This window comes from Homo sapiens, chromosome 15 (genome assembly GCF_000001405.40).
Source record: "Homo sapiens chromosome 15, GRCh38.p14 Primary Assembly".
NCBI lineage: Eukaryota > Metazoa > Chordata > Mammalia > Primates > Hominidae > Homo > Homo sapiens.
In genome coordinates this window covers 88084503-88111567 of record NC_000015.10, presented here as the reverse complement: position 1 = coordinate 88111567, position 27065 = coordinate 88084503, and the positions used below count along the sequence as shown (strand labels likewise).

The 27065-nt window shown below is 45.0% G+C and overlaps 1 protein-coding gene across 34 annotated transcripts in view; it reads left to right on the top strand.

Moving 5' to 3' along the window:
- NTRK3 (neurotrophic receptor tyrosine kinase 3) overlaps positions 1–27065 on the top strand; it is a 396989-nt gene that overhangs the window by 145172 nt on the left and 224752 nt on the right. Inside the window, exons 11-12 of one of the 34 annotated variants that reach the window (XR_002957645.2) lie at positions 12263–12565; positions 12907–13053. Coding sequence is in view for 1 of the 3 variants with exons in the window: in XM_017022250.3 (XP_016877739.1) it covers positions 12263–12315 (53 nt within the window). In the remaining 2 variants the exon portion in view is untranslated. 34 annotated transcript variants of the gene reach the window in all.

Here is a 27065-nt window from a genome sequence, read left to right as displayed (position 1 = left end):
CCTTGACAGATTATTCTTCAGTTCCCTCAATCACCTGAGAGCCTCCTGCCTTCCCACAAACCAGTGAGTGTCAAACTCCCTAAGCTAACAGCTTCATACTGTCCTCTTATCAGTTAATAAGCTGCTTACCCAGCCTCAGGTGGACATTTGGCTGCGGGTTAATGGGGCCTTTTTTGGCCCTGGTCCTGGCCCTTTAATCCACTCTCCCACCCCTTTCTGCTGTCTTTCTCTCTCTCCAAGGATGCAAGTATTAGTACTTCGGGAAACAACATAACACCTCCTGGTAGAAACCTCAATTCCATATTGCACCTGAGGTCGTGACTAGCCACTTGCCTTGGAAGGACCCTATCCAGGTTCAAGGAGGCAGCTTAGGCAGGTGTGAAGCAGCAGCCTGGATAGATGCCTCAGCCATTGAGCCCCAAACCATGCCCGGGGTGAACCCCCACCCCATCGCTCATCATCTGTATCTCAGTGAATTTCCTGTAAACTAGAGACATAGGAGTCATTCTTGACATGTCTTCTTGCCCAGTCCCCATCTCTTTACCCCTCCATGCTCTTGCACAGCCCAGTCTTGTCTTTGTGACCTAAATATCTCCTGAAGTTGTCCCTTCTCTCTTTGCACACTGCCACCCCACCATTCCATCTGGGCTCCTCCCACATGGCTCTGGACCTGGCCCCTTCAGTGTGTGCCCTGCTCTGTAATCACAGTAGCAGACTCAGGACTTTGAAATGAAAATTGGGTTCTGTAGTAGACTCCTGGTTCTGAAATGAAAATTGGGCCCAGGAGTCTAGCTCCTGCCATGTCCCCAGTCTCACCGAGCTATAGGGTTTCCACTCTTGCCAGCCTTGTTCCATGCTCCCTAAGACTGAGGTTCCTCATGCACCTTCCCTCTGTAGCACTTTGCACAGTTATTGACAGGAACATTTGATTAGTGCTTTGCCTCTCCAAGTAGACTGTTGTGTTTGCTCACTGCAGTACCACTCATGTCAGCAGACCACTTAAGGCATAGGGTGCATAAATGTCCTCTGGGCCCCTTGGGCATTGCACCCAAAGGGCTGGACCTGGAGCTCCTCCTCTGACCACCCCTAGTTTTGTTACTACTGTGGTGAAGATATAATCTGGGATCTTTCCTTTTGGTACCTGTGGATTGCCTGTAAGATGGAGGCAGGGATATTCTGGGGGAGAATGTTCTCCTCCATCCAACAGCTCTTGCCTTGCATTTCTTCCTTCTGCCTACCCCACGGTGCCTGCAGACAGGAAGACGCTAGGTCTGACCTGCCTTTTCCTAAGATCCCACCTCCATGTTTACCTGATCTTCTTTCTTCCTTATTGTCTCTTTCTTTACCCACCACTTTGTGCAGTATCTGGCCAATGCTATGGCTTCTTTTCCATGCCATGACACTAAGATTTCTTCCCCAGTCATCCTACTGGGGCTCATTAAAATTTAGAGCTATACAGGCTGAGGTCGAATCTCAGTTCTGCTGCTTGGGAGCTGTGGGACTTCAGGTGACTTATGGACCATTCTGGGCCTCCACACCCTCAGCTGACAAATGAGAGGGATAATTCTTATCATACAGGGTTTTATGAGAATTAAATGAAATTGTGTATATAAAGCAATTAGCTTAGTCCCCAGCTGTGTAGTAATCACTCAGTTAATGTGTTGAGGGGAGAAATCATGATTTTTGCTGCACTCAGAAAAGCTGTGAGTAATCTGCAGGTCCCATTATGGCTGTGGTTCATACACTTGGTTTTATGGTAGAATCGCATGGGGATCTTTAAAAAATTTCAACAGCTAGGCTACTCCCCCAGCCAGTGGGTCAGAATCTCAGTGGATGGGCTCTTGGTGTTGGTTGTTTCTATAGCTGCTCAGGTGATTTTCAGTGGGAAGCTAAGGCTGTCAGCCTGGGCTTTCCCAACGCCCCCCGCCCAGCCCCCCACCTCTTTCTGCCAGAGCACATATCTTGGAACTTTAAAGGAATAGGAGGGATGCGGGCTGAAAACATGGCGGGAAAAGCTCTCTTTATTGGGCTCCCACGACGTCTCTGGCACTGTGCTTGGTGCTTCACTTTCATGTTTCCATTTGATTTTCACTGTGACTTGTGATACAAAAATTATTGTCCCTGCTTCTTTTAGGAGCTTCAGGAAGGACGAGCTCCTTGCTTAATGTCAGGTATTAGGTGGCTTAAGGATGAAGGACCACGATTCGAGGTTGGTGAGGTTGGGGTGAGGACGCTGTCCCCTCTTCTCTCCCTCCTGCAGAGTGCTCCTTTGGTGAGGTGACTGAACGCCCCAATTTTCCCCACCCTCTGCGTGAGGCCTGGCTACTGCACCTGTCCACTGCAGTATTTAATGACCCAGCCTGCTTGCGGCTCACCGGGCCCTCGCCAGTGATCTGCCACCTGTTCTACCTTGCGCGGTGGTGCTGTTTGCTTAACGGGGAAATTTAAGTGCCTTGCAAAGACTCCCCATGGATTGGGGGAGAAGCATCCGCTGACTAGAAATGGGAGCATTGTTGTTGTTTTGTTATTGCCATAAATTTCCAGGCACTCTGTTGGGTTGGAAAATAGTGAGGGGTGGATGGGCAGAGAGAGGGAGGGATTCTTTCTTGTCTGACTGTGCAAGTGGATTAGAGAGAGAATTCTCTCCTTCATAGCTCCTCGAACTTTATGGTGCACGTGGAGCCCTGGGGATCTTGTTATGATGCAGATTCTGGTTTGATAGGTCTGGGGTAGGGCCTGAGGTTCTGCATTTCTGCCAAGCTCCTTATATGAGGCTGGTCCTATTGGTCTGCTAGCCACACTTGGCTTAGCAAAGCTATAGCTTCCAAGTGAGGGAGACTCAAGTCTGTTTTTTGGCCCCTGCAATTTTTATTTTGGAAAGTGTCATGGAATGTTATAGAAATCTGGATTCTAGCCCAGGCTACACTCTGATTTATCTTTGGATATCTTTTGAGCTTTACTTTTATCCTCTATAATTGGAGGGATTTGGATTAAGGGCTTCCAAGGTCCCTTTCAGTTGTAACATTCTATGATTCTGTCAGTTGGAGAGGGTAGATCACAGGGAGCATGGAGTGAGGAGGATGGGAACTAGTGGGAGGTGGGAGTTGTCAGGAGCACCCATTGCATATATGGGCTATTCTTTTTAGGATCACCAGGTTTGAATCCTGAGAGGCCAGAAGTGAGGAAAATAGGCAATGAACTTCCTTTTGTGCTGTGTGTCCAAGATCCCAGCGTAGACTATGAACTCCGGGCAGGTAGTGACAGTGACTCTTACTTCCTGACTCACATACTTGGCTTCTCCAAATGGCAGGAGTGTATTTGGGGATGTTAGCCATTCTGTGGGTTTCATGGAGGGTAGGCACTGTGGGATACAGATACAAGCAAGGCACACTTTTCATCCTTGGTGAGCACAGTGTTTTCTTAAGAGAATGGCATATCTTTCAGAACCTGGAGTCTTGCTGTTACTTTCAGATTGGAATTGCTCTTCCTGATACTGTGTGTCCAGCAACTGGGGTCTTTGCCTATGGGCTACTGTCAGCGTCTCCTGATGTCCTGACTGTTGGTTCTGGGTCTGCCCCTACCTGCCCAACAGTGTATCTCTAGGATGTCGCTTGCTCTCCACCTTGGGGTCCTCTACTTGCCTGCCATTGGGATATCTCTGCTTTCTGCCCCTCTCCCGCTTGTTGGTCTCTTGGATGCCCAGGTAGTGACCACTTCCAGTTTGGCTCTCCCACTGCTGACTGGGACTTAGTGATGATAGTACATTCTATTTGGTGGGTTCAGGTCTGAGATCGTGTGATATTTTTATGTTGCTATTCCCTGCAGAGGATTTCACACACAGGCAGGCTTTATCCATTCTTCCCAATTAGACACATCTGTGTGCAAATGGATAGGCCTTGGGCTCCTGTCTCTCACTGCTCTTGAGAGACCAGGAATGGGCCACAATTGGGCCAGGGAGGGCTTTCAGAACAGGGAGCCTGTGAAGTTTGGAGACAGAGTCCTGGTGTGGATGGGGGTGCTACCATGACCTCTTCAGTTCTTCTAGACCAACAGAAGCTCTTGAAACTGTGCATTGAGCCTAGGAAGGGACATGCCTTTATTTTGCACTTCATAGATTTTCTTTTTGAGACGTGGTTTCACTCTGTCACCCAGGCTGGAGTGCAGTAATGTGATCACAGCTCTTTGTAGCCTCCAACTCCTGGGCTCAAGTGATCCTCTCACTTTAGTCTCCTGAGTAGCTGGGACTACAGGCACATGCTGCCCTGCCTGGCTAATTTTTGTAGTTTTTGTAGAGACAGGGTTTTGCCATGTTGCCCAGCCTGGTCCTGAACTCCTGAGCTCAAACGATCTGCTCACCTCAGCCTCCCAAAGAGCTGGGATTACACATGTGAGCACTGCACCTGGCCTGTGGACTTATTTTTATAAAAGGAATATATATTCATTATATAAAAATCTAGAAAATATTGTATAAAAAATTAGTGGTAATCTTATTATTCAGAAATGACCACTGTTAGCATCATATGTGTGAATACATATATGTAAATGTATATATGTACATATGCACATATATCTATGTAACTGTAGATCTGTACCTGAGTATCTATATTCCCATACTTTTTTTTTTTTTTACTTTTTGAGACAGAGTCTTGCTCTGTCTCCCAGGTTGGAGTGCAGTGGTGCGATCTCAGCTCACTGCAACCTCCACCTCCCAGGTTCAAGCGATTCTCCTGCCTCAGCCTCCTGAATAGCTGGGATTACAGGCACCCACCACCATGCCCAGCTAATTGTTTTGTATTTTTAGTAGAGACAGGGTTTCACCATGTTGGTCAGGCTGGTCTCGAACTCCTGACCTCATGATCCGTTCCCCCTTGGCCTCCCAAAGTGCTGGGATTACAGGCATGAGCCACATGCCTGGCCCATTCTCATACATATTTTAAATGTACACTTAAGTGAAAATGGTCTTGAGCAATTCAAACAGTGTTTGACCTATTTTTTTCACACAACACTCTTTCTTAAGCATCCTTCCGTGTCATTCAGTAACCCTGTCTCTAGCTTTTCCATTACTCTGCAAAGCTCATTTTCCTTTCTTACATTCTTTCTTTTCACGTTGCTTGTGTATTATACCATTTCACTTGGTTAATTCAGAATCTAATCCATTTGCCCCAAGGCTGCATGGCAAAAGGGCAAAGTATGCATTTATAAAATGTGAATGAGCATAAGGAAGACACAGGCCAGGGTTGCTCAGCTCCTTGGCCCAGTAAAGCTCCCTCTGTGCATGTTTTCAGCTCGGCTTTGTTCAGGGAGCCTCTGGTAGGGGAACTTGGCAGAAGCCAAGCCAACCTTGTCCTGCCGGCCGCTGTAGCAGCCGCTGCATCCATTAGCAATTATGGGTCATCCACTGTGGGGCATTTCAGAGGCCTGAGGGACACAGCTTTGCCATGAGCAGAAACCACTGGGTAAGCCGGAATGGACCAATGAAAATATGTAATCTTGACAACAGAATCCTTGAACATACGCACACATACACACCTACAAATGCTCACAGAGTGCAATGGAGGCAGCGGAAAGCAGTGACTACGGGTGAACACTCTGGGCTAAGACTGGAATTGGAGTCCTAGACTTGAGACTTTCTTTTTGATTTGGGTGAGTCACTTAAACTTTCTGAACTTCTGCTGTCCTCATCTGTAAACGTGAATGGTGCTCACGTGAGAAGGTATTGAGAGATTTGACTGGGATTACATATGGAAAGCATTTGGCACAGGGACTCCACGTGGTCCATGCTCAGGAAGTGGCCACCACTGGCTTAGTTTTAGGGATCTCAGAGGTGGGGGAAAGGCAGTGCTTCTGGTGTGGGGGTGTGTGTGTGTGTGTATTTCCACTCATGAGGTACCTTTCCTTTGATGAACATATAATACTTTATGGAGTTGTTTTTATTTAATGTCTGTGTGAAGCACAAGGAAAAGATATAGCCCTGCTGGTAAATCCAGACCCAGAGAAGCAGCGTATGTGGAACTAGTGGAGCGTGTACTACACCAATAGTAGGGAGATGCAGTTCTTCTCCTGCCTCTGGGACTGCATGGCTGTGTGGCCTTAGCTAGTCACTTGTTCTTTCTGATCCTCTCTTCTCATTACTTGGAATAAGCCAGCTGATTGGAACACCTCATTGCTAAGGTCTCTTCTAACCCCAACCATCCATGACTCTTTAAGGTAGCAGTGGCTAGGTCCTTGGGCCTTCCTTGAATGTTCCCCTAAATCTGGAGAGTCATCTCTGACACGTTAAATGTAGACAGTCAGGCCAATACTCTCCAGCACCTAGGAGAGCTGCAGATGGTGCCTGGAATTGGCAACGTTAAGAATAAGCTGGGGACGAGGAGCCGTGGTTGACAATCAGGTCCATGGCCTCACTGGGTTGTGCTTTCTCTCTCTAGGTGTAGTTTAGTTTGAATTATTTATGATGATACTTTCTAGTCATTTGGGAAGATGAATGAAGTCTCAGTAATCAGAGCCCATGCACAGCCTCTCTTAACTAAAGTGAATTGAGACATCAATCCATGAAGAGGGTCAGGACTAGAGAATTTCAGGGCTTGCCCCCAGGATGAGCCACAGCCAGCAGAGTCTCATCAAGCAAAGGGACAGCCCAACTCGCAGAAGCAGAGTAAGGGTGCTCTGTCTTCTAAACATAAAAGGACAGGGCAGTAGAGAATTAACTCCTTGACTCTGGCCTCTTAGCCCTTGCAGGTGTATAACTTGTCCCCTCTGTTCTCCTTTCCATCTCCCTGCTGATGCCAATGAGATGTTTAGGAATGCCTTCTCCTCACTGCCCCTGAAGTCATAGTTTCCTTGAGCTCAGCACACAGGATTGGCAGTAGGAAGAGACAAGAGAGCATGAAGATGTGATGGCTCAGGCTGCAGAAAGGACTGGGAGAGGGCAGACAGCCAGGAAGGGGCAGACACACACACAATTTGAAGTAACTGAACTTCAGTGCTGATAGCTGGGAAGTGCCACCATCATGAGGCTGTCAAGGGCAACTCACTGAAAGTCAAAACATTGTGCTGATGACAGAGTGAGAAGCCAGCAGCTGTAATCTTTAGCCTCGTGAAAGACTGTTAAGGAAGCCCACACAGCAAGGAAAAAGTGGCCAAACATTTTCAAGACATGAGCTCAGGTTACAGTCGGAAAGATAAACGTTGTTCTAAGGAAATGTGCATCTTCATTAGAGACAGTAGAATGGATTTCAAAAGGAAGCTGATAAATGTATTTTACTTTAAAACTATAATCTACCCGTGTCCAAACTGGAAGGAATCTCATGCAACAGTTCTAGACATACCTGCATGCAGTGAAAAGTCGTCATCTTTCAACGTCAAAGGTGGATGTGTCCCTGACGTCTCATCCACCTTGTCATATTGAAACCAGTAACTTAGTGTTATTTGTAGTAAAATATTCTATAAAGTGGTATTCTCTGACCCAGGATCAGCTCTGCTTTTGGAGGCAAAGCAGATGTCTTCTTCCAGATGCCTGGCTATTTGGGGGAAGAGGAGGTCCCTTATAGCAAGAATGCTAGACTCAAAAGGAAGTTTAGTAGCACAGAAAACCTAAGTCAGTGGCCAGTTATACAGAAGAATGTCTCTAGTGTAGAATTGTCCATTGGCATCCCATGGAATGGATTCCTGGTTGTGCTGCTCCAGCCACAACCTCTAGGATATATCTAGAGTCTCCTATTGCCCTTTGGCTCTCAAAATGTAAGGAGCTTGTTATCTCTGGTTCAGGTGGGGACTCTGTGGGGGAATGGGAGGCTATTGGAGGGGTTTCCATATGCCTTAACCCCTCGCTTTCATGTGGGGATGGCTTATAGCATGGCACTGAAGAACTGTGCCCTTTCAAGGTCACTGTCTTCTATGAATCCCCTCCCAGAGTCTTACTGAGAGTGGATGACTACCACGGGTAGATGGGATTTTGATCCAAAGAAGGAAAGAAGTTTATATGTTTGAACAATCTAAGGTCTTTTTTGACTGTTAAACCTATGGGCAGTATTGAAGCTGCCCCATCTTTCGCCACTCTGGTGAATCAGAAAAAATCATGTTCTTCTCTGCCTCTCTCATACCAATCAGATATCTGTCCGTCGTTGTGTGTGTGTGATTTATTTTAAGGAATTGGCTCAAGCAGTAGTGAAGCCTGGCAAGTTTGAAATCTGTAGGACAGGCTGGCATTCTGGGAACTCAGGCAGGAGTTGATATTGTGGTCTTGAGGCAGGATTTCTTCTCTGGGATGCCTCAGTTTTTGTTCTTAAGACCTTCAAGTGATTGGATGAGGCCCATTTATATTATCAAGGTAATCTTTACTTAAAACCAACTGATTGTGGGTACTAATCACATGTATAAAATACCTTCACAAGGACACCTAGATTAGGGTTTAGGAAATAAGTCCTACCATCTAGCCAAGTTGACACATAAAACTAACCATCCTTGCCTAACCTCCTTGAGCCTACGTTCGTCATGCATAAAATGGAGTTATAATATCTGTAACACAGGTTATTGTAAGGATTAATGTATTGACATCCATGTAGTTCTTATTCTGTGCCCAGTAGGTACTTTCTATTAGGCTGTTTTTCGTATTACTACCAAAGGCTGTGAGTCATATGGCAGGGACCATCAAAACGCCTTCATCAACTCTGACTGGAGGGTGGTTATACCTTTGTGCAACAGGCCTTTTGAGCTAATAGAGACAGGCCTTGAAGGGTGGTCGGATTCTGGAAGGTGATCCTCTTGGTAGAGTTGGAGCATTTCTTAGTTGATTAGAGGATGCTAATTGAAATTCAGCTATGGTAGAATCTTCTTGGGGAGATTTCGGAGGGGGATGGCACATTCTTTTGGGAATCTTCAAGCCAATTCTTCCTTCCCTGTGTCTTTTTTTAATTATCATGGATATATAATAGTTGTACATACTTATGGGGTACATGTGAAATTTTGATACAAGCACGTAATATGTAATAATCAAATCAGGGTAACTGGGATATCCATCGACTCAACCATTTATCATTTCTTTGTGTTAGGAACATTCCAGTTCCACTCTTTTAGTGATTTTGAAACAGGTAATAAATTATTGTTAACTGTAGACATCCTATTGTGTCTACTGAACACTAGGTCTTATTCCTTCTATGTTTTTGCACACATTAACCATTCCTGCAAGTTTCTTTTTCTTTTGTCCTTTCCAGGTGGCCTAAGTATAGAAAGATTGTGTTTTTTTGGTATAACTAAATATACCAAAAATATGCTTAATTCAAATCTAGCAATTCATGAAGAATTAGAAGCACCTTCTAGAATGCCTCTTATGCTGGGGACATCATCAAGAACCATCTCTTGCTTCTTCTGTCAGCATCTTCTTCCTGTACCATCTATAATGCTGTTGCATAGGACCAGGGGAGATGCTGGCCTGAAGCAGGGGCAGAGGTCACTGTGGTTCTGGGCAGGTCCTTGTGGTTCTGGTGGTTGGGGATACCCCATTTCCGCTTCCTCTTTTCAGCCTATTTTATTTTTTTATTTTATTTTATTATTATTATACTTTAAGTTTTAGGGTACATGTGTACAACGTGCAGGTTTGTTACATATGTATACATGTGCCATTTGGTGTGCTGCACCCATTAACTCGTCATTTAGCATTAGGTAAATCTTCTAATGCTATCCTTCCCCACTCCCCCCACCCCACAACAGTCCCTGGTGTGTGATGTTCCCTTCCTGTGTCCATGTGTTCTCATTGTTCAATTCCCACCTATGAGTGAGAACATGTGGTGTTTGGTTTTTTGTCCTTGTGATAGTTTGCTGAGAATGATGGTTTCCAGTTTCATCCATGTTCCTACAAAGGACACGAACTCATCATTTTTTATGGCTGCATAGTATTCCATGATGTATATGTGCCACATTTTCTTAATCCAGTCTATCATTGTTGGACATTTGGGTTGGTTGCAAGTCTTTGCTATTGTGAATAGTGCCGCGATAAACATACGAGTGCATGTGTCTTTATAGCAGCATGATTTATAATCCTTTGGGTATATACCCAGTAATGGGATGGCTGGGTCAAATGGTATTTCTAGTTCTAGATTCCTGAGGAATCGCCACACTGACTTCCACAATGGTTGAACTAGTTTACAGTCCCACCAACAGTGTAAAAGTGTTCCTATTTCTCCACATCCTTTCCAGCACCTGTTGTTTCCTGACTTTTTAATGATCACCATTCTAACTGGTGTGAGATGGCATCTCATTGTGGTTTTGATTTGCATTTCTCTGATGGCCAGTGATGATGAGCATTTTTTCATGTGTCTTTTGGTTGCATAAATGTCTTCTTTTGAGAAGTGTCTATTCATATCCTTCGCCCACTTTTTGATGGGGTTGTTTGTTTTTTTCTTGTAAATTTGTTTGAGTTCATTATAGATTCTGGATATTAGCCCTTTGTCAGATGAGTAGATTGCAAAAATTTTCTCCCATTCTGTAAGTTGCCTGTTCACTCTGATGGTAGTTTCTTTTGCTGTGCAGCAGCTCTTTAGTTTAATTAGATCCCATTTGTCAATTTTGGCTTTTGTTGCAATTGCTTTTGGTGTTTTAGACATGAAGTCCTTGCCCGTGCCTATGTCCTGACTGGTATTGCCTAGGTTTTTTTCTAGGGTTTTAATGGTTTTAGGTCTAACATTTAAGTCTTTAATCCAACTTGAATTAATTTTTGTATAAGGTGTAAGGAAGGGATCCAGTTTCAGCTTTCTACATATGGCTAGCCAGTTTTCCCAGCACCATTTATTAAATAGGGAATCGTTTCCCCATTTCTTGTTTTTGTCAGGTTTGTCAAAGATCAGATTTTTAAGGTAGGAGGAGTTTATAATTTGATGGGACAGAGCCCCAGGCATTCACTCAGAGGGTCATGTTTTCAAGTGGGCAGGTTTCCTTTGCCTGAAAGGTCAGTACCCATGCAGTATACTTTTTCTTATGCCCTTCTTCTGTGACATCCTGGCTGCATGTCTCTTTTTGTTCTCTGCACTGCTGTCTGCTATCAGGTGGGTAAATTAGCTGAGGCTTGCTTGAATTCACAGAAGATGGAATGGTAAACTCTGTTTCCGCCATCTGAGGTTTACCAGCTCACTACTGGGAGTTGCTGGCTGCCAGCTCAGTTGTTAACTATGTAATACTTGGTTCCCCCCAGCCAGTATTTTCTGCATATGGCTCTCCAGATGGGAGCCCTGTGGAGAACAGGGGTGTTGGGAGGATCAGTCCTTTTGGCTGTTTGGTTATAACACACTTGTAATAGCACCGAAGCCTCTTGCATTGTTCTTTGGAGCAGAGCTTGATTCTCATTTTGCTTCTTTGCTGTGTGTGTCTCCCTTTCACAACAGAATCTTAGGAAAGCTTATATCTGAAAGGTGGCCAGCACTGGGGCCAGCACATGGGGGTTTTAGGGAACACAGGAGTGAGGAGTGAGCTTCAAGGAATTTGATGGGGAAACCTTTATCCTCATCACTGGAAGAGTAATTCAAGCTTAATTAAACAAGCTTAAACAATCTGTAGTTTAAGCTTTGTCTGTCCATTGCTGCCCTTGGAGTTAACTTTTAACCGTAGAGTCCTCAAAAGGCCAGAGAAGGTGCAAAGTATCCTTGTCAACTCCATGTCCCCCTCCCCAAATCCTGAAGCCTTTTCAGTAGATGTGTGTGGGGCTAGTCCATGCTGTCGGTTATCTCTAACTATGTGAACCGCCCCACCATAGCGTTCAATTTCCAGTTTTAATGTTTGTTTTTTGTTCATGTGAGCACTTAGTAACTATTAAGTCAATGTGGTCATAGAATAAAAGACAGTTGCTTTTAAGTTTCCCCCACCCCTGCTTTTGGATGCAGAATTGGAGACTCAGAGAGATCAAGTGACTTCTCTGAGGACAGTTTTGATTGTGGCAGACCCGGCTAGCACCCAGGCTCTTAGCTCCCGATGCCATGTTCCTACTGCTGTGGCATTTTGCACTTTTATGGACTTAAGTTCTAGCCTCTTTGTTTCATGAATCATTAAGAGTTTCAGGGAATACCTGGCCAACTAAGGGATGAGATCAGTCAGTAAAATGAAGGATCTAAATTTTGAATCCATGTTCCTGTTCATAATACACGTCTTTGCAGTCATTTCCCCTTGTCCAGCCTCTCTTGATGAGAGACTTTTTTAGCTTTTAGCAGGTACTGTAGCCAAAGCACCTTCTCTCTTCCATGTTCCTTCTCCAAATCATCTTTTTTCTTTTCATCAGCTGGACCATGTTTTCCTTTTCCCTTCCAAAGTCAGTCGTGCTCCACATTTTGACGGCTTTCCCTGGTTCTGTGAATTCCTTCCAAGTTGCTGCCATCTTTCTACTAATAAGCTGCCCAATACACTGTACCGGTCACCTCCCTGGAGCCTCTCACAGCCTCCTGGATGATCTTCAGCCTCTATTCTGGAAAAACCAAGGCTTACACACCACCCACTACAATGCTCTTTCAGCCCTGTGCTCTCCAGGTGGCCTTGGCTGTTACATCTTGTCGTTCATCACCCCTACCACCTTTGCAAGATTAAGGTGAGGTATATGAGCCCTTCGCTTTGGGCAAAAAATTTAAGAGGGTGCCACAAATTAAAAACCCCAGTAATCAAGACTTTTTTAAACCTACAGATTTTTTGCATTAATTTTGTTTTCATAGCATATCACATTACAGTATTATCTCTCTTGATTACTGAGTTTCTGAGCAGCTCCCTTGATTTTGGGCCCAAGATGAATGCCTGTCTTTCACACTCCATCTCTCCCATGTTCCTTTCCTCTTGGTTTTGCTCCTCCCCATCCTTTTCTGTAATTCCTCTAGTCTTCTGGCCCCTGCGGATTTATTCCTTGTGAATTAATGTTCTGTTTACATCTTCTTCCAGATTGTTAATAAAGATGTTAACACGTTCTCTAGGCCTCACTCCAACCTCGCCATAGCTGGCCCGCTATCTGGGGCCCTCTGCTCAAGAAAAGAAACTGCATTTTATCATAAGTTCTGTTGTTTACCGTCTCCTGGTGAGTATTTCCATCCCACCCAGGTTGCTGTTATCCTTGTCCAAGCGCCTTAATGTCTCATGCGCGAGGCTTGCTGAAGCTCCACGAGTGGCTTGAAAGATAAGCCCTTGTAAATAAAGCTTATGATCCTTGTTAATGTTGGGAGCTGATGGCATGCGTAGTCCAGCCAATTTGGATTAATTTTCCAAGGGAGATTTTGGTAGATGCTACGTCAACAGATTCTCTGAAATCCCACTCTCTCACCTTGCCTCCCTTTTCCTTGGCCACTCGCTCGTTTTTGCCAATTAAGAAAAGATATCACTTCCGTGGTGGGGTGTGATTTACTCTTTATAAACCCCGGTTGCTCTTCCGTGCTCAAAGTCCACTTGCTGCTTATAAACAGTGCTTTTCCTATTGGCCTTATCCTTTCAGTAGCAGCTTGAACTAGATTTACCTTTGTTTCTTTTTGTCAGAGGAAAAGATAGATTTTTATAACATAAATTTGGCAAAATGGAAGGACACTGTAGAATAAAACATCCTTTGCAAAAAGTACACACTTTTAGCAGTTCACATTTTTTAAAGAAGATAGTCGTTTTCTTGGTTCTCTGTTACCGAAGTAGCAAATGTCCATGAAACTAACTTGGGAAATAGAGAAAAACAGTAAATCACCCTTGTGCTAGCACCCCAAAATAAACACTGTTTACATCTTGGCACCTTTCCTTCTAGTCCTTGTTACATATTTATCATGCTGTAGATGCAATTTTGTGTCTTTACTTTCACATAGTATATCATAAATAGTCTCCATATTATTATGTAATCATTATAACCATCGTTTTTAAAGATTGCGTGCTTTTCAATCCAAGTAAATCTGTCTTTTTAAATTTAATCATTCCCCGTTTATTGGTCACTTAAGTTACAAATACTATTATCAGTAACAATGAGGTGAACATCTTTGTATGTATGTTTTCCTTAGTTAGGATTATCCTATACCTTAGATTCCTGGTGGTGGAATTACTATATTAAGCGTGAGGATAAACATGTTGCTAAAGTGTGTTAGAGAAGAGTTTGACCAATCAACAAAGCCTCTATCAGTGTATGAGACTATCTCTTCCCATTCCTCTTCTTGTACTGTGTAAAAATAGTTCTTATCAGTGCGTTCCTGTCACTCTAGGAGTTACTCAGGTAGACATATACATAATCACACTCTTCATAGTCCTCTGGTACATTTGTCATGCTAACAGCATTAATGATAGTAGCAATAATATCCCAACTGTTCTCTGACACACCTCTTTAACCAGCACTGTTCAATAGAAATATATTCCAGCCAAGGATGTAACGTTAAATTTTCTAGTAGACATGTTAATAATAAAAAGACATAGGTGAAATTGATTGTAATACTATATTTTATTTAGCCCAATATATCAGAGATGCTATCATGTCAGCCTGTGTCACTAGCCAAGTCTCAGGTGCTCAGTGGCCACATGTGGTTAGTGACCACTGTTGTGGATAGCACAGCTTTGAGCCATAAGCCTAAAGCACTACCAGACTCTCTTCTTTTGTTTAGAAAGGCTGTCAAATCCTTCTTTGCTTTTCAATCTTAGTTTTGGTTCTCCAAAAGTCAACTCTGAGATAAGGACTTGATGTGCAGGTAATTTATTTGGGAGGTGATTCCAGGATGCATTAGGGAGCAAGCGGGCAATATGAAAGGGAGATGATAAAGTCAAGAAAGAGCGTGACAGTGAGTGGATTGCTGCAGTGGGTAACTGGAGCTTAGTCCTGCTGGGGACCGTCTGAGAAACTGGGTGGCACCTGCCTCAAAGTTGCTCTCCACTGCAGATGCAGGGACTGGAACATGTATTTAGTGACTCCTGTCCTCCATTAATTAGTTATGGGTTGTTCCAGTGGTATTAATTACCCCACACTTCTGGGTTGTACCTGCTTAAGGCCAAGCTTGCTCTTACTGTGCTGGAGAAAGTCCTTAGGCAAAGAAAAAGGATGCAGGCTCTTGAGGTGGGTGTAGTTTGGGGGCTGAACTGCCTGCTGTCTTTGCCAGGAGACTCAGGTGGGCCAGGGATATGAGTGGGGCCTCAGCAGCACCTGCCTCTGGGCCTGTGTCATGGTGAAGTAGGGTCTTCTCCAGTGGGGCTTTTCCCAACCAGGTCATCCTTGGTTGATAGTCATCGTGGGTGATTCAGTCCATATTCTTTTATATAAGCCACAGAAACTGATTCTGGCTAACCAGGCAAAATGTAAATGATGGAGGGATGCTGGGGGCTCTCTGGATGTAATAAGGCCTGGAGGAGAGGGCTGGTCAGGATTGGGGATGGGAGAGAATAAGATTTTGTCCCATGCTGGAATAAACTGGCAGGACAGTTAGCATCTCGGAGAACAGCATGATTAGGATGCCCTGTGTTCCCTCCCTCTGTTTGTTCTGGGGAAGGAAATGGGGAGCAAAGTCACTTTGGCTTCCTTTTAGAGGTCACCACCTAAAATTATTTTCCCATTTATACTACACACAATAGAAGAAAGATAATTCCTTGATAGAAAATCAAATCGCTGTTAGGGAATGAATGCTGGGCTGCTAAAAATGGACAAATGACCACTGCAGAAGGAGATTGGGCTTTCTGGTGAAATCTGAGTAAAATTGGGCTGATTTCCTGGTTTTGATAATGTGTTATGGTTATGTAAGATGTTACCACTCAGATAAGCTGGGGCATAGGTACATGGGACCTTTCTGTACTATTTTTGCAACTTCTTGTGGCTGTATAATCATTTCAATTGGAGTATCCAAGCTTCACCTTTACGCCCTACCTCATCCTCCAAATTACTGGTGCTCAATCTTTAGACCTAAAGGTACTCCTCAAACCTTCTAAACCTGGGGAGGGTTATGCACCTATTTATTTGGATTCAACTGGTTTTCTTGCTCTGGTTAATTTATTATATTTTTTGGAGTTTATATTTGCAGATTTGATGTTGACCTGCAGTTAATTGTGGAGGATAGCAAGCAGGTCTGAAAGTGGACTGAGAGTTATACAAACCCTGCTTTCCTCCTTCTGACTCCAAGCAGGTTTCCCAAAAATGCCATTGACAACATTGACACCCTGTAAGTGAGCCATGGTTCAATGGAGACCACTCATCGCTGATCAGCCCCAGAAACTCTAGGAAGGGTTGGGTCATCCAGTTCAGAAAGCTTTGGCTCAGTCCTTTGATTTCTGCAATGTACTTGGTCAGATATATCTCTTGGTGAGAATAGAGTGGGCTAAAGCCATCTTTGTTGAGACATTTTCTCCAAATAGCAGCCATTTCTTTATGTGGCTTTCCAACCAGGGCATATTCTGAGAAGACTATTAAATTCTCACATGGGACCATTGACTTGAAGGCAGTCAACCCCTAGAGAACACAAGCTGTTCTCACTCTTCCTTCTTGCAGTGATTGAATGTCATTGCTGCCAAGGCAGAGTCTGGGCTCACGATCACAGGTGTTGTGGTGTCCGCCAGAGTGCCATCAATTTGGCCATAGCCACAGCTCCCAGGTAATGGGTATTGGAAGCCATTGCTTGTCTAAACAAGATCTGTGAGACTTCCATCCTCAGTTAGCTGTTCAATTTCTACTAATAATTCTCTAATAAACATTTGGCCAATCAGATTCAGTCTGTTACGATGGAGTTAAAACAGCTTAATTTAAGCAATAATAATAATTGACAGCAACAGGAAACACTGAGCCATATTCTTCCCACTGTCTAAGTCATTCCCTGGGAGTAAATCAAGTGTTTAAGGAGGGACATTCACGTCTGCAGGGCACTGGGGCCTTGCTCAGTCAGCTAGGGCTGTAGACATCAGATGGTCCCCAGGCCATGGCTTGCAAATCTGTGCATGGCCCAGCCCTAGGAGAAAGCCCAGGCTCACATTCTACATGTCATCCTTCTTCCCAAGAAGGCTGAGTATTTCATGAGTTTCATGAGTATGATCTCATTCTTCCTTCTCAGCTGTCTCTGGAGGGTGGGAGGGGTCTGCTTTGGGGACGCTGCTGGCAGACTTCTTTTTATTCTTTTTTTTTTTTTTTTTTTTTTTTTTTGAGACGGAGTCTCGCTCTGTCGCCCAGTCGGGACTGCGGACTGCAGTGGCGCAATCTCGGCTCACTGCAAGCTCCGCTTCCCGGGTTCACGCCATTCTCCTGCCTCAGCCTCCTGAGTAGCTGGGACTACAGGCGCCCGCCACCGCGCCCGGCTAATTTTTTTTTGTATTTTTAGTAGAGATGGGGTTTCACCTTGTTAGCCAGGATGGTCTCGATCTCCTGACCTCATGATCCACCCGCCTCAGCCTCCCAAAGTGCTGGGATTACAGGCGTGAGCCACCGCGCCCGGCCGACTTCTTTTTATTCTTAAGCCCCTTCCTGCAGCCCACTTCTTCCAAAGGCTGCAGCAAGAAGAGCCCCTTCCACTGGCTTTTTAAAGACTTGCCAAGGAGCCACACAGTGTGCTTGGGGAGGAGTGAGAGTGCATCCCCTGTTTGTATTATGGGATTTGGAATTAGGGAGGGTTTAGGTCAAATCCTGGCACCACCACACAGGTGACCTTGCTGAGGCTGTTTGCCCTCCCCAAGCCTCAGTTTCCCATAGGATTGGGGAAGGCAATACCACCTCGTGCTGTTGAGACAGTCAATAATTGATAACAACATGTACAAGATAAGTAGAAAGCTAATATGATTAATATTAACTTTATAGCAACCCCCCCGCTTGAGGCCCACAGAGAGTGTTACAACCCCTGCTTGAGGCCCACAGAGAGTGTTAAAGGAATCCTTACTGAGTCCAAAGAAAGAACCCTGTCTTCTGGTCCATAGTGCTCATGGCAGATTATGCCCATGCTGTTGGGTTTGCACTGCTGATTCAGGGATCAGACCACATGTTCTTCATAACAATGATCAGGTGCATCATTGGAGACAGGTATGCTATGGCAGAAATAACATGACTTTGAGATGAAGACAGAGCCTGTCTATTTAAATCCTGACTGCCATTTATGAGCTGTGTGGTCTGGAATGGGTTTCCTCATCTGTTAAGGAGAGAAACTGACACCCATCCATAAGCATGAGAAGAAGAGTAAGTGAGCAAGGCTGCCTGGCACATAGCAGGTCTACTGTAAATGTTCCTTTCAAATCCTCCCCTTCCTGCTTTCTAATCATGCTACCCTAAGATTGAAACTGGTGGTTATAGGAGAATATCATCCCTTCCTTTCTTCCTTCCCCCCTCCCTTTTTTTCCCACTCCCTGCAGACAGAATTGGCATTTTCCAGAGGAAGAATAGATGTTTGATTTTGTGATCCAAATTGAAGTTCCTCTTTGCCAGAAAACACTTCTCCATATGTTTGAGATTCCTTATTAAGGGAAAAAAATTCATGTTTACGTTGAGGTAAAAATGACACTTGGTTTTACCTTCTGTGGTAGGCAGAATAAGGTTGTCTCCCCAACAAAAAAAAAAAAACAAAAAAAACAAAAAAAACCCCAAAGCCAAAAAAAAAAAAACCAGAAACAAAAAATCAGGTCCTAATCCCTGAACCTGTATATGTCATCTTGTACAGGGAAAGGGTCTTTGTAGATGTGATTAAGTTAAGGATCTTGATTTGGGGAGATTATCCTGGATTATCCAGGTAGGTCCTGAAGGCAAGAATGTGCATTTTTGTAAGGGAGAGGCAGAGGGTGATTTGAACATGCACAGAGAAGGCAGTGAGACAGAGATGCAGGGATTTGAAGGTGCTGGCCTTGAAGATTGGAGTGATGTAGCCACAAGCCAAGGAATGCCATCAGCTGCTAGAAAGAAGCTGAAACAGACAAGGAGCAGACTCTACCCAGAGCCTCCAGAGGGAGTGCAGCCCTACTGATGCCTTGATTTCAGAACAGCAATACTGATTGCCAACCTTGTGCCTGCAGAACTGTGAGAGAATAAGCCACTGAGTTTGTGGGAATTTGTTACAGCAGCCATAAGAAATGGACACACCTTCATACTATTGGGACAAACCTCTGGCCAGTCTGGCTTGTGGCCACATTTTTCTGAGAGAGTCAACACCATGGGTACCTATAGATGCCAGGGGGTGGGAATGCAACCTACCAGAGATTTAACCAAGCTCTGGTCCTGTGTATGGGCTCTCACCTGCCAAAGGTGCAGCAGTTGCTTGTATGTTTCAGGATTAATGATCAAAGGCAGCAGGTCTGATAATAGGGCCTGACTTTTGTGGCCATGCAGTCGGAGCCTTGATGATGATATAAGTTAAGGAGCTTCAGTGACTAGAGACGTGGCCCAGCCCTCCAAGAATGACACTGAGCGGCTGAGATAGCCATCATATTTCATCTGATGTGCCAGCTCTGATTGCTGGGGGAGTTGCCAGGTTGTTGAGAAGCTTGAGGCTGAGACTAAGCTGCAGGCAAAGTAGAAACAAGCTGCTCAAGAACCTGTGCTTTGGTGCTGCTGCACCTATGTAAGGCAGAAGTGGGCTTCAGAGCCATGGTTCTCATTTGCCTTGTTGTGATGTGTGATCTACTGTGAGATGGGTTGCAAGTAATTTGTTACCAATATTAAAATGCTGCCTTTTGCAGAAGATTTACTTCTTTTAATAGATTGGGGCAGATTCATGGTGGTTTTGCTAACTTGCATTCTGATATGTGTTCTTGAGTAGGGCAGAAAGGGGTGGAGTTTTAGATAGCACACAGGAATTGCTCATAATCTTGGGGACACTAGGCTGGCAGGTGAGTCATGGAGATAAAAAGTGTCTGAGAGCCATGACCAAGGAACATTTACCGCTTCCCTCAGGTCGACAAATATGGGTCAGATGTGTGTCATCTCCCACCCTTGTGTCCATGGCAGACATCACTAATTGATGTGTGTGATCTCCCTACTCTTGTGCCCATGACAGACATCACTAATTGATGTGAGTGATCTCCCTACCCTTGTGCCCATGGCAGATATCACTAATTCATGTGTGTGATCTCCCTACCCTTGTGCGTACAGCAGACATCACTAATTGATCATGGCACTGTTAGGCTTGAAATCAGGCACAGAATACTTCTCAACACAGTCATTTGGTTGTCCACTGCCATTTGATCAATGGGTAAGAGGAGAGCAGAGGAAACGATAAGTGAAGGTAAAAGTAGTATGAGTTTTGTATTTTTGAACTGTCATTTAATTTTTATGTTATTGGATATGGGAAACAGTATTACCACTACCAGTTGATCAGGGTTGACCTTTGACATGACATACATTTGCCATTCCTGCTAATTCCTTCCCCAGCTTTAAGAGAATCTGCCCTAATTCCCAGCATTTTTGCTGGTCTTTCCCAAGTTTCTTTTGGCATCCGTTAACAAAAGGTCTAACCTTTTTCCCCTTTCATCAGTAAAGATAAGCTGCAGGTAGTAAAACGGGTTCCCAATTTAGCATGGCTCCTCTTTCAGAGGGCAGACATCTAAGGAGAGGTCAGCCGCTCCACTCCCCTAGCCCCTGACTTTCCTCTGGGGCCCAGGGTTCACACAGGAGTTACAGGGATTAGATTTAGAAATCAGCAACTCTCCTAAGATGAGTATTGGCTGTTCTTTTTTTTGAAGGTGAGAGTCTTGGTCAGATGGCTTGAGCACGCATGGCCGTGCACCAGGTTCCCAGAGGCGCAGGCAAGAGGGCTGCATCCAAGTTGTCCTGGAAACCGTGCTTTTTTTTTCACATTTAGGGCTGAAGGCCAGTTGCTTGCTGCCTGGGTGGGGGAAATAGGAAGGAGCAGCCAGGGTTCGGCCCCTGGGCAGAAGGATATGGTGAGATTAAGAGTGGGTCAGGGGTTGTGGGGTAAGGAGGATTGAGGGAGGAGGAGGTGAAGATGAAATGCAAAGTTGTGTCTTAGAAGTTACTGGCAGGTTGGCATTGTGAACTTGTTATCTGTTTGACATGACACCCCAGGGAGTGGCTGGAGAGACAGCAGCTGTCACGGTCATTTCTGGAGGAGGAATGACTCTGGCTGAATTTGCATTAAGGATTTCCTACCAGGGTTGCCAAGTGATTATCCCATAGGGAGATTCTGAGATCTCACTCTTTCTCCTTTTTGTATATATTTATAGGAGAATGCTTATCTACGTTGCCTAGGGCACGCTGTCCTTTCTCCCTTCCTCCCTTCCTTCATTCCTTTTCTCCTTCCTTCCTTTCTTCAGCATTTTTGAGCGTGCACTGGGCACCAAGTACTGGCTTACATACCGGGATTTGGCAATAAATAAAACAGTCCCTGCTTTTGTGAAGCTTACATTCTGGTGGGGACCGAGGTGGGGAGCAGGAGAGACAAACAATAAACAAACAAATGAACCTATAACATGGCAGGTAGTGATAAGTGCTAAGATGGAGAAGACTGAAGATAAGAGGGCACAGGCTGGTGGAGAGGGCTGGGAGGTCTTTGGGATGGGAAATCTACTTGAATGAGTGCAAGCCGAGCAGAGAGGGGAGGGCTTCACAGACATCTCGGGGAAGAGAGTTCCTGGCAGAGGGAGCTGCTAGTGCAAAGGCCCTGAGATGGAACTGTGCTGGCATGTTCAAAGAGCAGCCTGGAGGACAGTGTGGCTGGACCGGTGGTGCAGGGGTAATAGCAGATTAAGCCAGTGAGTTTATGCAGGGCCAGGCCACATAGGGTCTTCTAGGCTATGGCAAAGACCCTGGCAGCCATTTAAGCAGGTGGGGAGACTGTGGAGGGTGTAACGCAGGGGAGGGCATGAGCAGACCTGTATTTTAGAAGGGGCCACTCTGGCTGCTTCATGGGAAATGAGCCACAGGGGGCCAGGGTGGAAGCAGGAAGGACTGCTGGGTCCAGTAGCACAGGTTGTGCCCTGCTCAAGAGTACAGAGTCAAGGCTGGAAGGAGGGTCAGGAGGCTGTGTCCATGCAAGGGGAGCATCTTTCTGGAATTCATCCAAGGTGCCCTAAGGCTAATGGGACTCAGCTAGTTTGTAAACTACTTTTGCTACTTATTAATATGTCATAGACATTTCCCCCATGTCTTCAAATAGTCTTTGACAACATGCTTTTTAATAGTTGTGCAGTATTACATCACTTGGACGTACTATACTGTAATTAATCTGCCATGTTAGACATTTTACTTATTCCCAGTTATTCACTATTTTTTAAATGTGCTGATGGATGTCATTGTGCATAAATCTCCACGTACATCTCTGATTATTTCCCTGGGTAATATTTCTAGAAATGGAATGGTTGGGTTAAATAAGATGCATTTTTAAGCCTCTTGGTTATTAAATTACTTTGCAGATAACTGAGCCGAGGCTTAAGAAGGGTGAGTAACTGGCCTCCAGGCACAAAGCCAGGAAGTGGTAGGGCAGGATTTGAATGCAGGCATGTCGGTTTTGAGATTTGGAGATCTATCTTCTCCCCCACCGCCCCCGTCATACCACACTAAGGACAGCTTAGATGTCACTCAACTCACACTCAGCCAAAGGCCAGGTAGCCTCAGATTTGGTGGCCTTGATGAAGATGATGATGATGGCTGAGGAGTTGAAACTAGTCAGCTTTCTTTAATCAGCTCTGTGTCAGGAACTATATTCAGTACAGATTGTGCATATTCCCACTGGACCCTCAGAGGAACCTAAGAGCAGTAATATTTTTAGTTCCATTTTATACCTGGGGACACTGAAGGTCAGAGAGGTTAAGCAGCCTACCCAGGGTCACACAGCTGGAGAACGGGGAAGCCAGGAATGAGCCCTGTGTAATACCTTCATTCTTAACCATTCCCAGCTATAGGGCCTTCCAAGATAGGAACTATGCCCACTAGTCCCTTGAATTATAAATACTAGCTCATATAGGCTGCTGATTCACTTCACAGTCCACATTTGGTCTGACAGCTTCTGCACTCTTGCAGCTTTAAAAATAATTGTTACCATTATTATTACCATATTACTTCTATGACTATGTATTATATGATAATGGTAATATATATGCTGGTATATGCATAGTATTATATACACTAACCTTATATATATTACATTACTGTTACAACATGTTATTACAATTACTACTATTATTGCTGTACATCATTACTATGAATACTATATTATTACCATTCCCATGCTCCTTGTTGCTCATTCTGGTGTCCAGGTGGAAGGGACAAGACCACGTTTTCCTCATAGCAGAGTGCAGGGGCAAAAGGATGAGCAAAAACATCTCATGCCTCTGAAGTTATTGCCTCATGACATTATTCTAATACTCATAGCAACAACAACTATTATGATTACTATGTTAAACATAGGAGCTGATAGTTCCACGCCAGCTCCACTCAGTCTTGCTGGCTTTTCTCTCAACAACTCCTTGGGGTAGATACTTTTATTGCACCCATTTTACAGGTGGGGAAACTGAGGCCCAGAAGGTTTCATGACTTATTCAAGATCTCACAGCTTGGCACTGACATATTTTTTAACAGCTTTATTGAGGCTTGATTTACACACAATCAGCTGGAAGTATTCATTTACTTATTTATTTAAGGTGGGAACTTGCTGTGTTTCCCAGGCTGGAGTGGAGTGGCGTGATCTTGGCTCACTGCAGCCTCTACCTCCTGGGTTCAAGCAATTCTTCCACGTCAGCCTCCCTAGTAGCTGGGATTAATAGGGCATGCCACCATGCCTGACTTATTTTTTGCACTTTTTAGTAGAGATGAGGTTTCACCATGTTGGCCAGGCTGGTCTTGAACTTCTGACCTCAGGTGATCCACCCACCTCGACCTCCCAAAGTGCTGGGATTACAGGCATGAGCCACCACACCCAGCCAGCTGGAAGTATTTAAAGTATGATTTGAGGTTGTGACGTTGCATATGCCAGTGAAATCGCCACCACTGTCGAGATGGTGACATCTCTGGGGCTCTGGTGCTGATGCAGGTATGACCCTTTGTGGGAAGCCCTCATAAGTCCATGTATGGTGCCTCCTTCAGCTCTCTCACCCATCCCATTGATCCCAAGAGGAAGGTCTCAGCATCTGCTGAGCTTTCTCACAGGTAATGTTCCTGCCTACACTCTCTTCCTCCTGTCCCCACTTGCAACAGTGCTTTCTGTGGCTAAGGACCGGAATTCATGAGGCTGAGTGACAGTGGAAATTTATTACTGGGATGGTTCCTCTAGCAAGAGGGGCACAGTGGGGGCAAAATGCAAGGGAGATGGGACCTAGACAGCAGCCCCTCCCGAGAGACCTGCCGGACACTCCCCCAGGGCCGCTTGCAGAAGACAGGGCAGGGAGAAAGACCTAGTGGAGATTGTCCTCCATGGAGCCCCTCCACCTTCCACTCTTTAGCTTGTGAACCTTATTTACTCTGCAGTACTGTTCTCACTTTCACACACGCATGCGTTTCATGACTCCCTGGGGTACCCACTTTGCTTCTGGGGAGCTTGCTGTGTACCGTTAATTGTTATATTCGCCTCACATCACGCTTAGTTAATATTTAGATAAACTGTGTGAGCAAAATGATTTTAGGTTGTGTGTGTGTTCCACTGCTGGAAACCTCTCTGTGACCCAATGCAGTGATGCACCCGTTTTTGAGCTGGGTCCCCTTGGGTATGGAGAGGTTAAGTAACTGATGTCAAATCACAGAGCCTGGAAGGGCAGAGCCTAGAAGGAGGCCATGACTTTTATTCAATTAGGCTTGGCCCACTGAAAAGCTCCCTCCTTCAGGCATGGAGGGTGGAGAGCTGCATACTTCCAGGTGAAGAGAAAAACTAGGGTCATCCACCACACAACTGCCCCAGGCTAGGAGAGGATCCCTCTTGCTACAATAATCGTTCCTGAACTTGTCTGCCCATTGAAACCACCTGCGTACTCCAAACTGCACTGAAGCATGGGGCCCGTCGCTAGACATTCTGATTTTATTGGTCTGGGATGCAGCCTGGGCTTTAGAATTTTTAAAAGATCCCCAGGGGATTCTAATGTGCAACCAAATTTAGGTCTAGAGTCTGGCACAGTGCTGTCTAATCAGAATACGAGAGAGCCCCATACATACTTTGATGTTTTCTAGTAGCCATGTTTTTAAAAAATAAAATAAACAGGTGAAATTAATTCTAATTATGTATTTTAGCCCAATATATCTAAAATACTATCATTTGACCATGTTATTTTAAAAATTAATGAGATGTTTTAAATCTTTTTTTTGCTCATGGTAGGTCCTTGAAATCCAGCATGTTTTTATAATTACAGCACATCTCAGCTTAGACCAGCCACTTTTCAAATACACAGTAATTGCATGTAGCTAGTGGCTACTGAGTTGGACATTGCAGATCGGGCATATAGTAAGTGCTCAATGAAAAATTTTTGAACACTTGAACAAATAATGGAGGCGTCATGTGCAATATCTGCAGTCGTGAGACTGGGTAACTGTTCCAAAGGTAGGAAGGTGTGGTTTCTTGGCAGAGTCCTCTCTAGAGAACGGTTCTGGTTATGTCTTAGGATCCAGGCATCGGACACCTCTCCTACCTATGAAGTCTTCATCAGCTTTGTCCTGCTCCTGCACTCTGCTCCATGCATTGGTGACATATGCCTCTTAGACTGTGATGCCTCGATGCCCTAGGCTCATTCTGTCATTGTCATCATCTGTATCACATACTATCATTTTCTCTTTATGTGTCTGCTTCTCATATATCCTATTAGCTCCTCAAGGCCCTAGCCATGTCCTCATTAATCTCTGTATCCCTATTGGCCAGCATTTAATAGATGTTTGTGGAATGAAGTAATAAACGAACAATCACATGGCGAGGAGATTTGACTGTCATCAAGCCCAGTTTTATAGGGCAAGACTGGCCAGCGCAGGTCTTAGGTGGAAGGCAGGGCTGGCTCAATGCATATTTGTAGTCTGGTTATTAGAAATTGTAAGCAATGTATCTTAGTTAGCGATTACTGCATACTGCTGGGTAACAAACCACCCCCCACTCAGTCTTTTCTGACAAGCATTTATTTCTTGTGCCCAGGCCTGTGGGTTGGCTGGGTTTGGCTGATTCCTGATGTGCTTGGCTGAGTTTGGCTCCAGGCAGTCGGTAAGGTGCTGGTGTGCCCCATGTTTCTCATTCTGGGGTGCCGGCTGAAGGGGCAGAGCATATTCTTCTCATGGCAGATGGTAGGCATGCAAGCTGATGAGCAGAAACAGTCTGTACCTCTTAAAACCTTGGCTTGGAACAGTCACTGTCACCTCCCTTGCATTTCATTGCCCAAAGCAAGTCACTGGGCCAAGCCCAGAGTCAGTGGGGCAGAGACATGGAGGGGCATGAATATGAGTTGAACAATCATCCCATCTATTACTCTAAAATATGGTTTCCTGGCTAAGGGTGATGGTGTTCCTGCCTCTGAAAACCCATCCCTTATCTAAGTGGTTATTGACTTCAGCCTGTTTCTCAACGTAGGAAGAAAGGTGGGTCAGGGATTTTATTAACCATGGTTGCTTGGCTGCACCCAGGCTGTTTCTGTTTTATTTGACATTGGCTATCTTGTTTTCTACTCTTTTGACCCTGGGAATTGGTTAACCTAAGAATTCATGCTAAACTCTCTTCTTGCTCTTGAGGGACCAGTCAAATCAGTCCCTGATATATAGGTTATCCCAGCTGTGCAGCACATGCAGATTGTGTGAACACCCATGCGGGCGCATGTACATACTATGGTTCTACATGCCCCTTGTCAAAGGGAGGATGTGGCTGTCCAGAGGCTGACCAGAGCTTACAGTGGCTCTCAGTGTGTCCTGCTCAGCTGTGCACCCATTGTAGAGTTGCCTGCATGAGAAGCCTTCCCTGAGGTTTAAGAAAATGGAGCACTCATTTACTGTCCCCTTGGTAACCTTCAGCTCTACTGGGCTGGAGGGCAGGGGGACGTCTTTGTGCAGTGCAGCTGCAGAGGAGACTCACAAGGTGAGAGGGTTGGGGGAAAGGAGACGTGAGGCTGGAGCAGTGGTCATTCTTCCAGCTCTCTGGCTTGGACCTTCCAAGTTCACTGCCATTCCAGAGACCTTGCCAGAGTCCACAGTTGAGCTCAGACCAGGGACTTCGGGCCATTTCCAGAGGAAC